The sequence below is a fragment of the Homo sapiens genome, chromosome 17, assembly GCF_000001405.40.
Source record: "Homo sapiens chromosome 17, GRCh38.p14 Primary Assembly".
Classification (NCBI taxonomy): domain Eukaryota; kingdom Metazoa; phylum Chordata; class Mammalia; order Primates; family Hominidae; genus Homo; species Homo sapiens.
The window spans coordinates 29,265,827-29,281,236 of record NC_000017.11 but is presented as its reverse complement, the minus strand read 5'-3'; the positions used below and the strand labels follow the sequence as shown (position 1 = coordinate 29,281,236).

Here is a 15,410-nt window from a genome sequence, read left to right as displayed (position 1 = left end):
GATTTCTCCTGCCTCAGCCTCCCTAGTAGCTGGGATTACAGGCATGAGCCACCGTGCCCGGCTGCCCAGCTAATTCTTGTATTTTTTATATATGTATATATACATATAGTGACGGTGTCTGTGTATTTTACCCAGGCTGGTCTTGAACTCCTGGCCTCAAGGGATCCTCCTGCCTCAGCCTCCCAAAGTGCTAGGATTACAGGTGTGGGCCACCATGCCTGTCCTAACTTTTCTTTTCCTTTCTTTTTTTTGGAGACGGAGCCTCACTCTGTCACCCAGGATGGAGTACAATGGTGCGATCTTGGCTCGCTGCAACCTCTGCCTCCTGGGTTCAAGCGATTCTGCCTCAGCCTCCCGAGTAACTGGGATTACAGGCATGTACCACCGTGCCCGGCTAATTTTTTTGTATTTTTAGTAGAGACGGGGTTTCGCCATGTTGGCCAGACTGGTCTTGAACTCTTGACCTCAAGTTCTCCGCCCACCTCCGCCTCCGAAAGTGCTGGGATTACAGGCATGAGCCACCACACCTGGCTGTGATGGCTCTTTTTTAAGAGACAGGGTCTCACCCTGTGACTCAGGCTGGAATGCAGTGGTATGATCCTAGCTCACTGCACCCTTGAACTCCTGGGCTTAAGGAATCCTCCCGCCTCAGCCTCCTGTGTAGCTGGGACCATAGGTTTGCGCTACCACCCATGTTGTCTGGGCTGGTCTGGAATTCCTGCCCTCAAGTGATCCTTCTGCTTCAGCCTCCTTAAGTATTGGGATTACAGGCATGAGCCACCATGCTTAGCTTGTGATGGCTCTTAGTGTACATACCTGGGACATATAACTGTGCCTTCTTAAAAGTAGTTATCTCAGAATGCTTAGCAAGCCTCTCTTTGACTTGACTTTAAAAGCTTTGAACACTAGATCCTAACTTTTTGAAGTAAACTTTTGATTTTGAAATGGTTGAAAGTCATTTGAAGCCAAGTCTTTGGAAATAATAATTGATATGAGTTGTGTGTTTGGTCACAGTGCCAATTTAAACTGGGTTGATCTGTCTTACATGGCTGTTATGGCACTGAAGGATATGAAGCATTTGAAATGCTGACATTTTGGAATATTCATTTAAAAATAGGCTGGGGCCGGACATGGCTCACACTTGTAATCCCAGCACGTTGGGAGGCTGAGGCGGGTGGATCACCTGAGGTCAGGAGTTTGAGACCAACCTGGCCAACATGACGAAACCCCATCTCTATGAAAATACAAAAATTAGCCAGGCATAGTGGTGCAGGCCTGTAGTCTCCGCTAATTGGGAGGCTGAGGTGGGAGAATCGCTTGAATCTGGGAGGTGGAAGTTGCAGTGGGCTGAGATCACACCACTGCACTCTATCCAGCCTAGGAGACACAGCAAGACTTCACCTCAAAAAATGAAAATAAAAATAGTCTGGGTACTGTGGCTCTTGCCTATAATCCTAGCATTTTTGAAGTGAGGCAGGAAAATCACTTGAGCTCAGGAGTTTGAGATCAGCCTGGGCAACATAGCAAGTCCTGATTTCTACAAAAAAATTTGAAGCATTAGCTGGGCATGGTGGCATGTGGAGGCTGAGATGGAGGATATCACCAAGCCCAAGAGGTCAAAGATGCAGTGAGCCATAATCGTGCTGTTGCACTCAAGGTTGTGCAACAGAGTGAGACCCTGTCTCAAAAACATACAACAGTTGGTATTAAGCAATTACTTACAGATCTGTGTTGAGGTAGATTAATATGGCACCAATTTGGGTAGACTGGAAGCCATTTTTCTGTTGACTAGAAGATCAGTTTCTTGGAATAGTGCAGGCAGAGGTATAATAAAGGTCTTCTGCTTTGTATTTTCAACCATGTAAATGATCTGAATTTTAAAAAAAATTTTTTAAAAAGCTTTTAGATTGGGAAAGGGCATAAGGGAACAGATAAGATTACATAACAAGATTTGGGAAACAGGATATGAAGAGACAAATTATGATTAATCCATAAAATTGACAAGGACTAGGTGTACAGTTTGGACATTGTTCAGAGAAGGATCTGAATATTAAATTTTCTCTTCTAAACACAATGTGAATAAGTATTTTCACGTTTACTGCATTTCATTGCAATTGCTTCCTGAATGCCTATTTGACATCACAGCTGTCTTTCTAATAATCTTATTAATGTGTGCCTGCAAATTTGACAGTTTTAAGATTTGCCTTGGTTTTAGCCCTGGTTGGATTCCCTAGATTTGGAAAGGGTACTTGTTTATGAGGATATAATGATGTGGGACATATAGTAATGAATATAACAAATAATTCCTAATATGGGATAAGGTCCCCTTTCTCCCAGTGAGAGAACTCATACTGGCTGTTTAGTACCCATACTGACTGCTTGATGTTTCATGATGTCTGCTTTATGAATACAGTAATAATATATTCACCTTGATACTGGTGAAAGATCACTTGTAAGGAATTTTTGGAAGTTAAAATTTAACTTCCAGATTTCACTAGCTTAAGTCCTGAGTGTGAGGGAAATAACCATCTATGCTGTAAGAAGAGCAGACACTGTTACTATAATGATAGTAGCAAAACCAGAAATTGTTTATTACTATCATAGTAGTAGCAGTTTCATTCCAAGCTATTACTATCATAGTAGTAGCAGTTTCATTCCAAGCAACTTTTACCCTTATAAAGCACATGGGGGGCCGGGCGTGGTGGCTCAATTCCTGTAATCCCAGCACTTTGGGAGGCCGAGGCGGGCAGATCACGAGGTCAGGAGATCGAGACCATCCTGGCTAACACGGTGAAACCCCGTCTCTACTAAAAATACAAAAAATTAGCCGGGCGCAGTGGCGGGTACCTGTAGTCCCAGCTACTCGGGAGGCTGAGGCAGGAGAATAGCGTGAACCCGGGAGGTGGAGCTTGCAGTGAGCCGAGATCGCGCCACTGCAGTCTAGCCTGGGGGACAGAGCGAGACTCTGTCTCAAAAAAAAATAATAATAAAGTACATGAGATTAGAATAAGAGCAATAGAAAAGAGAAAAATAACAAAAACAACTTGAGTTCCGAGTTTCTATTTAGGAGTAGTCTGGATAATTCTTCTTATCCTGGATTGTTGTAGCTTCAGAAAAGAGTTCATTAAGGGGTCTACTGAAAAGGTGGTGACTTCTAACTACCTTAATTCAGAATTACTTGAAAGCATGCTGTATTTCTTTTTCTTTTCTTTCCCTTTCCCTTTTTGATTGAGTTTCACTCTCGTTGCCCAGGCTGGAGTCCAGTGGCGCGATCTCGGCTCACTGCTACCTCTACCTCCTGGGTTCAAGCGATCTCTTGCCTCAGCCTCCTGAGTAGCTGGGATTATAGGCTTGCATCACCACGCTTGGCTAATTTTGTATTTTTAGTAGAGACTGAGGTTTCACCATGTTGGTCAGGCTGGTCTCAAACTCCTGACCTCAGGTGATCCACCCACCTCGGCCTCCCAAAGTGCTGGGATTACAACCATAAGCCACCGCACCTGGCCGGAAAACATGCTATATTTCTCTCTGGGTATTGTCAAACTGAAAAAGGGTGGTAGAAATTTCTGACAAGCTTCTTTGTAAAAGAATAGGCACAAGTATGGCAGACTGGTTAAGAAAAAGGAAATCAGAATAGCAAAACATGGTACAATAACCTGTAATCATCCAAAAAATGGGCAAATCTGAATTAGGAGGGGGAAAGCAGAATTTTAATTTACCATGTCACCATCCTTGCTGAATTTTACAGAATTTGATCCAAAATGGCTTAATAAGGGATTGGAAGGCATGATTAGTGATAAATTGATTTGGGGGTTCTCAGTTGTGGGAGTCAGTTTGTTTGGCATTATGTTGATTTGTTATCTATCTCTGGTGGAGCCATTTAATTTAGATGTTAATTTTTAAAAGATGTTCTAGGTTCAGACGTGGTGGCACATGCAAATCCCAGCATTTTAGGAGGCTGAGGTGGGCAGATCCCCTGAGGTCAGGAGTTCGAGACCAGCCTGGCCAGTGTGGTGAAACCCGGTCTCTACTAAAAATACAAAAATGAGCCGGGCATGGTGGCACGTGCCTGTAGTCCCAGCTACTCCGGAGGCTTAGGCAGGAGAATCTGTTGAACCTGGGAGGCGGAGGTTGCTGTGAACCGAGATTGTGCTGTTGCACTCTAGTCTGGGCGACAGAGCGAGACTGTCTCCAAAAACAAACAATGTTCTATTAGCTGAGACAATAGTATTATTCATTTTTAAATGCAAAAAATAAGCTTCTAGTTAGCTTTAGCCCTTTTAGCTTCAGTCTTTTTCCTTGAGGGATTTAATAATTAAATGCTGTATCTGTTCAGTTTGACTATATGAAATTGCTGTTTTTGTAGGTCAGAAGAAGTTGAGTGTGAGCAATGCCAAATGGGTCTGCCTAATACTGTTTACAGTTACATTATTACTTCCTGGCTGACTTATGAATAGTATTTGTTCAAATCAGTATCTACTTACTGCACCAAGCCCTGTGAGAAGCAGTAGTGATAAATAGATGAGAGGTGAGAGTTTGTGTCATTAAGAAACTTGGTCTAATAGTGAAACATATGGAAAGAAATGTATTACTATTGTTGGCTGGGCACAGTGGCTCACACCTGTAATCCCAGCACTTTGGGAGGCCAAGGCTGGCAGATCACTTGAGGTCAGGAGTTAGAGACCACCCTGGCCAACATGGTGAAACTCCCATCTCTCCTAAAACAATATACAAAAATTAGCCAGGCATGGTGGCGCGTGCCTGTAGTCCCAGCTACTCAGGAGACTAAGGCAGGAGAATCGCTTGAACCTGGGAGGTGGAGGTTGCAGTGAGCCAAGATTGTGCCAAGTGTAATTGGAACCCCTAAGATGGGGGCAAGGTGAGGGAAGGGCAGTCAGGATTCCGAAAAGAAGTGGGCATTAGTCTGTTTATTGTGCCTGGAGAGTAAGATTACTTTAGGTGGAGGAAATAATAGTGTTTGAAGATTGCCAGCCATTCAGTTTGTTTAAAGGAAGATGAATGGTACAAGTTTAAAGTCCTTTAAGTTAGTTATCTAATTAATCTGTTGATGTACTAGCTATTGTGTCAAGTGCTAGGAGACACAAATTCAATTTCACAGTGCTAGTAGCTTTTGCTGTAGGCAGTGAGAATCCATTGAAAAGTTTTGAGCAATGTGGTCACTTTCAGATATATATATATATATATATTTGAGACGGAGTCTTACTCTGTCACCTAGGCTGGAGTGCAGTGGCGCAATCTTGGCTCACTGCAACCTCCGCCTCCTGGGTTCAAGCAATTCTCCTGCCTCAGCCTCCTGAGTAGCTGGGATTACAGGCACGCACCACCACTCCCGGCTAATTTTTGTATTTTTAGTAGAGACGGGGTTTCACCATGTTGGTCAGGCTGGCCTCGAACTCCTGACCGCAAGTGATCCACCCGCCTTGGCCTCCCAAAGTGCTGGGATTACAGGTGTGAGCCACTGCACCCGGCTGTCAGATTTACATTTTTAAAGGAAAAGAATGGTTAGCCAGGTTGTAGAAGACAGAAAATGAGGCCTGAGTAATGGCAAAGGAGGCCAGTTAAAAGGCAACTGCATAAATGTTGAAAAGATACTACTGCTTGAGCCAGGGCAATGACATTGGGCTGGAGAAAAAGAGATGACTAGAAAGTTGCAAGTGTCTTACCTTTGGTTAAGATTTACCAGAGTTGAACATTGCCTCTGTAAATTCCTTAGTTTGAATTTCCTTGACTCTACCCACTCTTATATCCTATACCTTTACTATAACCTTCCTGGGGTCATTCTCTGTTTCTCAAATGTTGTTCCTTGAGTTCCCTTTTCATGTTACATCAATTTCCCTGGATAATCTTGTCCAGTTCTGTTACTTTATATACTAGGCTTAAGACTTCTTCAGAGGCCAGGTATGGTGGCTCATGCCTGTAATCCCAGCACTTTGGGAGGCCGAGGCAGGTGGATCACCTGAGGTCAGGAGTTCGAGACCAGCCTGGCCAGCATGGTGAAACCCTGTATGTACAAAAAAAATACAAAAAATTAGCCGGGTATGATGGCATATGCCTATAATCCCAGCTGCTTGGGGGGGGCTGAGGCAGGAGAATTGCCTGAAGCCAGGAGGTGGAGGTTGCAGTGAGCCGAGATCGAGCATTCCAGCCTGGGTAATGAGAGTGAAACTCCTTCTCAAAAAAACAAAAAAAAAACTGAGTTCAGACCGTATATATTCCATATCATTGCTGCAATTCTATGTATATTAAATTGAATTCATTCTCTTCCAAAACCTGCTTTTTCTTTCTTGCTCTTAGTGAATTAGCATTAACCCAATTTTTTGTCATTAGATGATATGGACCATTTCTCTAAGATCTCCATTTTTTTCTTTTCTATCTCGCATACTGTCTTCATCTCTTCTTAACATTTATTGGACTCTCTGTATATTATTGTCACTTCATCTGTTCTGTTCATTACCTGGAAGAATCATCACTATTTAGTACAATAACCTTAGATTTCTTCAGTGGCTTCCCTTCACCTATATAATGAAATAACAAACTTTACTTCATATGTAGCTTTTTACTCTGTCCCCTGAATAATGTTCTTTCTCTAAATCTCTCATTCTTAGTGACTTTGTGAACCGTAGCATCTTTGTTGCAACCACTCAATACTTGGTTCTGCATTATAGCTCAAAAGCAGTCATAGATGGTACATATACAGTGGATGTGGCTGTGTTCAATTAAAACTTTTTTTGTTGTTTTTTAAGACACGGTTGTCTCACTTTATTGCCCAGGCTGGAGTGCAGTGGCATGATTATAGCTCATTGCCTCCTTGAATTCTTGGACTCGAGCAATCCTCTTGCTTCAGCCTCCTGAGTAGCTGAGACTACAGGCATGTGCTGTTAGCACACCCAGCTAGTTTTTAAATGTTTTGTAGACATAGGGTCTCACCATCTTGCTAAGGCTGGTCTCAAGTGATCCTCCCACCTCTGCCTCCCAGAGTGCTGCAATTACAGGTGTGAACCACCACAGGCCCTCATTAAAACTTTATTTGCAAAAACAGATGGTGGATAGTAATTGTTTGTTCACCCCTGCTCAAACACACCTTGTTAAAGCACACACATACCACCGACCTTTGTTCATTGCTGATGCTCTTACTGATAACCCACCCTCCCAGTGAAGTTGCTTACTAGAGTAAGCTCACAGAGGGCAGACTCTTTGGTTTTGCATCTATACCCTGAGCTGGTGAGTAGTATTTTTTTTTCATACCCTGAGCTGGTGAGTAGTATTTTTTTTTCAATCAACTTGGAATTAAGAACTTGTGGAAAACTGGACATTTCGCTATAGGAAGCATTGTGATAGGGAGGTATTATGTAGAAAGTCTGCTCTAGGAAATTGAACATTAACTTTTCATTTGAGTGGCATAGCTAAATATAAGTTTTGATGTAAAGAAATTTCAGATTGGGTGGTGGTAGTGGTTTAAAATACAGAATTTTAACAAAATTGCCTACTTGGTATATCTTAAGAGCAAAAACTTTTACTTAGGTTCTATTAGGTCTAATTGCCTACTTGGGTATATCTTAAGAGCAAAAACTTTTACTTACGTTCTATTAGGTCTGGCCCTGTGAGCATTTCTCAATAAATATTTGCATAATTAGATGCTGTGATCACTCTTCAAAAAGAACTGGCAAGTTAGATTTTGTGCTGTGTGTCTGTGTGTGTGTGTGTGTGTGTGTGTGTGTAGAAGAGAGCAGTGTTAAAAGATCAAGGCTGGGCGTGATGGCTCACGCCTGTAGTCCCAGCACTTTGGGAGGCCAAGGTGGGTGGATCACCTGAGGTCAGGAGTTTGAGACTAGCCTGGCCAACATGGCGGAACCTGTCTCTACTAAAAATACAAAAATTGGCTGGGCGCGGTGGCTCACGCCTGTAATCCCAGCACTTTGGGAGGCCGAGGCGGGTGGATCACGAGGTCAGGAGTTCCAAGACCAGCCTGGCCAGTATGGTGAAACCCCATCTCTACTAAAACTACAAAAATTAGCTGGTATGGTGACGTGCACCTGTAGTTCCAGCTACTTGGGAGGCTGAGGCAGAAGAATCGCTTGAACCCAGGAGGCAGAGGTTGCAGTGAGCCGAGATCTCACCATTGCACTCCAGCCTGGGTGACAGTGAGACTCTGTCTCCTATATATATATATGTGTGTGTGTGTATATATATATATATATATTAGCTGGGCCTGGTGGCGTGTGCCTGTAATCCCAGCTATTTGGGAGGCTGAGGCAGGATAGCTTGAACCCAGGTGGTGGAGGTTGCAGTGAGCTGAGATCGCACCACTGCTGCTCTTCAGCCTGGGCGACAGCAAGACTCTCTCAAAAAAAAGAAAAGAAAAGAAAAAAAAAAAAGAATCAGTTACTGAGGTTGACCATCCCAAATCTGAGAATCTAAGATCCAAAATGCTTCAAGATCCAAAATTTTTCAGTACTGACATGATGTTCAAAAAGGAAATGCTCCTTTTCCAATAATATAATGGAAACATTCCAAAATCTAAAACACTTCTGGTCCCAAACATTTCAGATAAGGATACTCAACTTGTATGTGTATGATGATTTTGTATAATTCAAATTGCCTTCCTTAGCCTTCTTTATACTATTCACTTGTTTTGCTTCTCAGGGATAGTCAAAACATTAAATCACACAAACGAGGGGCCAGGTGCAGCGGCTCACGCCTGTAATCCCAGCACTTCGGGAGGCCAGGGCGGGCAGATCACAAGGTCAGGAGATCGAGACCATCCTGGCTAACACGGTGAAACCCCGTCTCTACTAAAAATACAAGAAATTAGCCGGGCTTGGTGGCATGCGCCTGTAGTCTCAGCTATTCGGGAGGCTGAGGCGGGAGAATGGCGTGAACCCTGGAGGCAGAGCTTGCAGTGAGCCGAGATAGCGCCACTGCACTCCAGCCTGGGTGACAGAGCAAGACTCTTGTCTCAAAAAAAAAAAAAAAAAGAACACATTTCATATTTAAAATCTGAATTGAGATTTTTGTAACCTTTTTTTGAGGACAGAAGGTAATGTCAGCCCTTTCCTATGTGTTCTATCGATAATGTCATTTGTTTCTTTCTTTTCTTCTCTTCTCTTCTCCCCTCCCCTCCCCTCCCCTCCCCTCCCCTCTCTTTTCGACAGTCTCACTCTGTTGCCCAAGCTGGAGTGCAGTGGCGTGATCTGGGCTCACTGCAATCTCTGCCTCCCGGGTTCAAGTGATTCTCCTGTCTCAGCCTCCTGAGTAGCTAGGACTACCGGTGCCCGCCCCCACACTTGGCTAACTTTTTTGTGTTTTTAGTAGAGATGGGATTTCACCATGTTGGTCAGGCTGGTCTTGAACTCCTGACCTCAGGTAATCCACCTGCCTTGGCCTCACAAAGTGCTGGGATTACAGGTGAGAGCCACCGCGCCCGGCCATGTCATTTCTTGTTAGTCTTGTTAAGGTTAAGCATAGCATCATGCAAATGCTGTTTGATTCATTTTCCCTTTCTGATCCTAACCTTGTTTGAGTTTCAGGGAAACTTTTAAATTTTGATCAAGTAAATGAAGTTGCTAGTAGTCAAAGAAGTAATTAATATTAAGTAACAGGAAGGGAAATTGCATTCACTTCTTAGTTCAGCATTTCTGATAATGCTGATTTCTTTCTTTACTTTTCTTTTTTTTTTTTTGAGACGGAGTCTTGCTCTTTCGCCCAGGCTGGGGTGCAGTGGCACGATCTCGGCTCACTGCAACCTCCGTCTACGGGGTTCAAGTGATTCTCCTGCCTTAGCCTGCTCAGTAGCTGGGATTACAGGCGTGCACCACCATGCGTTACTAATTTTTGTATTTTTAGTAGAGACGGGGTTTCACCATGTTGGCCAGGCTGGTATCGAACTCCTTACCTCGTGATCCACCTGCCTCGGCCTCCCAAAGTGCTGAGATTACAGATGTGAGCCCCTCCGCACCAGGAATATGCTGATTTATTTCTTTGCTAGAAGCTTGGCTTGCTTCATAGCTAGTTTTATAGGTACATCATACATCCCTATTTCCCCCTCAGAAGTCATGATCAAACTCACTACTCTAGAGCTCACATTTAAGGGTAATAACATTTTATCATAAATCATTTTTAAATGTATAGTATTTGAGTAAAACCTTAAGCTGCAGTAAAGAAGTATCTTCAACTTGGGTGTTTGCAAATAGTTGTTTTGCCTTCTTTATTCTAAAATATGTATGTTTGCTTTGTTTTTAAAGTAGTGTTGTTACTGTGACTCTGAAGTGTATTCTCAAAAAAAGGGGAAAGTGCAGGGATAGGTTGAGTTTCCAGTGGGGAAGAAAAAAGGAAATGTTACTTATAGGTGGTTAACATGAAAAGTTGGATTAACTTTTTCTTTTCTTTCTTTTTTCTTATTTATTTTTTAATAATAGACACAGGGTCTCCCTATGTTTCCCAGGCTGGTCCCTCAAGTGATCCTCCTGCTTTGGCCTCCCAAAGTACTGGGATTACAGGCGTGAGCCACTATACCTGGCCAATTTTTTTTTTCAGCGTATGACTAAATATAGATTTATCTTTGCAGTAGACAAAATGAATATCAAGTTATTACTATATACATAATTCTTCAGGAATTTATTTGCTACAAAATATGAAATTTCTGTGCTTTAAAATAAAAAATATTGGTTGTATTGGATCAATTTTTTTTTTTGCAGTAGGTCAACCAAGAGAAGGCTTGTATTTGGACTTTTAAAAAATAGGCCATTCTGAAATCCAGAAATTCGTAAGATAATAAAGAACATTTAACTGTTCCTCGTTGTTTGAAACTAATGGAATAAGAAATTATATTGGAGTGATAAGTGTGATTTCTGTGACTAGAATTTCCGATCGTCATCTTTTTTTTTTTTTTTTTCTCCAGGTTAGATTGATTATAGTTCTCCCCTTTTTAGACCTCTCAGGAGAAAGGGAATTTTCCTGCCTTTCTTTGGATAGGTGTCTGCGCAGAGATTTGATGGACATACCATACAACTAAGCTTGGACAATTGGCACCTTTAAACTCCCAGATTTGGTTTAATCACTGTAATATCTTGAATGGGATTTTATCTGGATAATTATCTTATTCATCCTGAATTATTAATTGATCCCAGTATATGGATCTGACAAATTTTCAAAAAGCTGAGAGTACTGTAAAAAATATTTTTTAAAAGTGCCAGGCTTGGCCAGGCGCGGTGGCTCACACCTGTAATCCCAGCACTTTGGGAGGCCGAGCCGGGTGGATCACAAGATCAGAAGTTCGAGACCACCCTGGCTAACACGGTGAAACCCCGTCTCTACTAAAAATACAAAAAATTAGCCAGGCGTGGTGGCAGGCACCTGTAGTCCCAGTTACTCGGGAAGCTGAGGCAAGAGAATGGCGTGAACCCGGGAGGCGGAGCTTGCAGTGAGCTGAGATCGCGCCACTGTACTCCAGCCTGGGCGACTCAAAAAAAAAAGTGCCAGACTTGGTGGCTGAGGTGGAAGGATTGCTTGAGCCCAATAGACCAGCCTGAGCAACATAGCAAGACCCCATCTCTACAAATGGCATGTGTCTGTGGTCCCAGCTACCTGGGAGGCTGAGGCAGGATTGCTTGAACCCAGGAGATTGAGGCTGCAGTGAGCCATGATTATGCCACTGTACTCCAGCCTGTGCTATAGAGCAAGACCTTGTCCCCCTGTGCAAAAAAAAAAAAAAATTTGGTTTTTACAGTTTTAATTTTTGCTAGGGGAGTAGGGAGAGAGATAGGAATGTGATTCTACCATTCCCTGCCCCTATTTATACACATACAATCAGAAAATAATAATTTTAGATCTGTATCTTATTTTGTCCTACGGAGGGATTATGTTGTGCCTTAACTGTAACCCAAGTCTAGATGTATCCCATCTTAATGAGTTTCAGTTTTTCCTTTTCTTTAATTGATTGCTGTTAAATTGGAATGTAGTTACACATAATAGTTAAGCAGGGTTAAAATAATCTTTTTGTCCTTTCAAAATGATAGTTTTATTACCACAGAAGACTACTTATCCTTAATGTTTGTTATAGTTCATTTTTGTTACTAAGTAGTTTGTGTTAATCTCCAGATAGAATATTTCCTTTCAAGGTCCAATTCTTTGGTTCTTGTGTAATAGTCAATTACTGTTGACTATATATAGCCCCCTGAAGCTTTCATGTATCACAGGTAGAGTTTTTAACTGCATTCTCTGTGTATGTCGCTATAATTTGTACATGTACATAATTTTCTTATTTTAAGATGCCAAACTAAGCACATTGTAGACATTTTGGATGAAATTAGAACAAATGATTGTGTGCCATTAATAATAGATGTGGATTGGCATTCTGACCTTAAAGGATAAAATAAGAGGTGTGGTTAGGGCTGGGTGTGGTGGCTGATGCTTGTAATCCCAGCACTTTGGGGGGCTGAGGTGGGCGGATCACTTGAGGTTGGGAGTTCAAGACCAGCCTCACAAACAAGGAGAAACCCCCTCTCTACTAAAAAAAAATATATATATACAAAATTATCTGAGCATGGTGGCGCATGCCTGTAATCCCAGCTACTCGGGAGGCTGAGGCAGGAGAATCGCTTGAACCCGGGAGGGGGATGTTGCGGTGAGCCGAGATCGTGCCATTGCGCTCCAGCCTGGGCAACAAGAGTGAAACTCCATGCTGGGGGTAAAAATAAATAAATAAATAAAAATAAAAAAGAGGTGTGGTTTAGAGGTTAGAACTACTTGCCTGAATGGTTAAACTAATTAAACATCAATTTTAATTAGTCAAATTTGATGAATGCTTTGTTCAAAAAATTTGGGCACCTCATTGAGGAGTCAGTGGATTACCAAGAAATACTTGGTGTTTTTTAAATAATGATGAGCTGTTATGAGAAGTATTATTTTATCTGTAGCATGTGTCTTGCATGTCCTTGCAATTTGTGAAGACAAAATTATTCTGGCAATTTGATTTCAGGTAATAATCTACATGACACTTAAGAATTATAAGAGCCAGCCGGGCTGGCACAGTGGCTCGCGCCTGTGATCCCAGCATTTTAGGAGGCCGAGGTGGGCGGATCACCTGAGGTCAGGAGTTCAAGACCATCCTGGCCAACATGGTGAAACCCCATCTCTACTAAAAATACAAAAATTAGCTGGGCGTGGTGGCGGGCACCTGTAATCCCAGCTACTCGGGAGGTTGAGACAGGAGAAGCGCTGGAACCCGAGAGGCGGAGGTTGCAGTGAGCCGAGATCAGGCCACTGCACTCCAGCCTGGGTAACAGAGCGAAACTCAGTCTCAAAAAAACAAAAGAGTTACAGGATCCAGGCTCACGCCTGAGGCAGGAGGACCAGCCTGGGCAACAGACTCCATCTCTACCAAAGAAAAAAAGAAAAATTAGCTGGGTGTGATGGCATGCGGCTATAGTTGAGAGGCTGAGGTGGGAGGATAACTTGAGCCTGGGAGTTTGAGGCTGCAGTAACAGAGCAAGACCCTGTCTCTTAAAAAAAAGAAAACTATAGGAAAATATGAATGCTTTATCTGAACTTCATAGAATTTTGCCATTTTCAACCCTACCTCCAGTCTGGCAGTAATCAGTCTAGGATTTTTAGATTTAAAATGAAAAGCATCGCTTCAGACTTTGCTCACCAAAACTTAGTATGTAATTCTCTTTTTTTCTTTGCAGAAATGGAATCTATTTGGAATTTGCAGAAGCAAGGTAAGAATGATTAGATTACTTAAAATGTCACTAATAAGTAACCACTGGACATTATTTTTGGGTGGGATTAACAGATGGGTGGTAATTTACCAAATAGACTTTGTATTTTGAGTTATTTAATAACTGCAATCAAAAGGCACTAGCAGCTGGGCAGGGTGGCTCATGCCTCTAATCCCAACACTGTGGGAGGCCAAGGCGGGAGGATTGCTGAAGTCCAGGAGTTCAAGACCAGCCTGGGCAGCATAGCCAGACCCCGTCTCTATTTTTTAAATTAAAAAAAAAAAAAAAATGTAGGGCCGGGCACGGTGGCTCACGCCTGTAATCCTAGCACTTTGGGAGGCTGAGGCGGGTGGATCACCCGAGGTCAGGAGTTCAAGACCAGCCTGGCCAACATGGTGAGACCCTGTCTCTACTAAAAATACAAAAATTAGCTGGGCGTGGTGGCAGGCGCCTGTAATTCCAGCTACTTGGGAGGCTGAGGCAAGAGAATAGCTTGAACCCAGGAGGCAGAGGTTATGGTGAGCCGAGATTGTGCCATTGCACTCCAGCCTGGGCAACAAGAGCGAAACGCCATCTCCAAAAAAAAAGATAGTATTAAGAGTGAATACGAAAAAAGAAAACAGCAACAAAAAGACACTACCATACCAGGACTGGCGAGGATGGGGCAATACTGTAAGTGAAAAAAACAGATGAAAGTATTATTTACCTACTAGATGAAGATATGAATGATTTTTTTCCCCTCCTGGTTATGAAAGTAAGACAAGCCATAAATGTTATTAATGTAGGAAACCAACAAGAATAAGTATTTCCACTTTTGGCTGGTCTTTCTCTGTATTTGTGTGGTAGACAACAAACAGCCTAAGAATTGAAATTCATAGTTCAGAAAAATATTAGCTGTTATAGGAGCCTGAATTGTATCCTATTCATTTTGAATTGAATAGTATACAATTCCTGAATTGTATCCTATTCCTCATTTACTTTGCTAATTAATGTAAGTGAATTTCAGATGGATGTGAAATTCCTAGAATTTCAGGACTTGAAATGTGTAGAAATTTCTCTTATTTTACATATTAGGAAAGTGAGGCCCAGTGAGGTTCCTGTAAACTAGAAAGTGGCAGGACTAGAATGTAGCTTCCCCTGATTTCCCAATGTTGCTCTTTCTTCCGGAGTTACTTTCTGTGTATCTTACCAAACAAATGAAAAAAACATAGACTAGAAAATACACCCTGCAGGCTGGGCACGGTGGCTCACGCCTGGAATCCCAGCACTTTGGGAGGCGGAGGCAGGTGGATCACCTGAGGTTCAGGAGTTCAAGACCAGCCTGGCCAACATGGTGAAACCCCATTTCTATTAAAACAGTTAGCCAGGCGTGGTGGCACATGCCTGTAAATCCCAGCTACTAGGGAGGCTGAGCCAGGAGAATCGCTTGAACACAAGAGATGGAGGTTGCAGTGAGCTGAGATCACGCCATTGCTCTCCAGCCTGGGCAACAAGAACGAAACTTCGTCTGAAAAAAAGGAAAAGAAAATATACCCTGCAAAGTAGACCTACCTGTTTTTACTGTAAAATGGCCGTTAACTCTTAGGAATGAGCATGTTCTTCATGGCAGATTTCCAATGGGTGGCCCTAGGAGTCCCAGAAAGGATATTATTATATTATCTCTGGACTAAA

The 15,410-nt window shown here is 42.5% G+C and overlaps 1 protein-coding gene across 2 annotated transcripts in view; it reads left to right on the top strand.

Moving 5' to 3' along the window:
• NUFIP2 (nuclear FMR1 interacting protein 2) overlaps positions 1-15,410 on the top strand; it is a 38,310-nt gene that overhangs the window by 12,912 nt on the left and 9,988 nt on the right. For both annotated transcript variants that reach the window (NM_020772.3, XM_017024896.3), the window contains exon 3: positions 13,707-13,739. In NM_020772.3, the coding sequence (NP_065823.1) occupies positions 13,707-13,739 (33 nt within the window). The remainder of the gene's footprint in view (positions 1-13,706; positions 13,740-15,410) is intronic.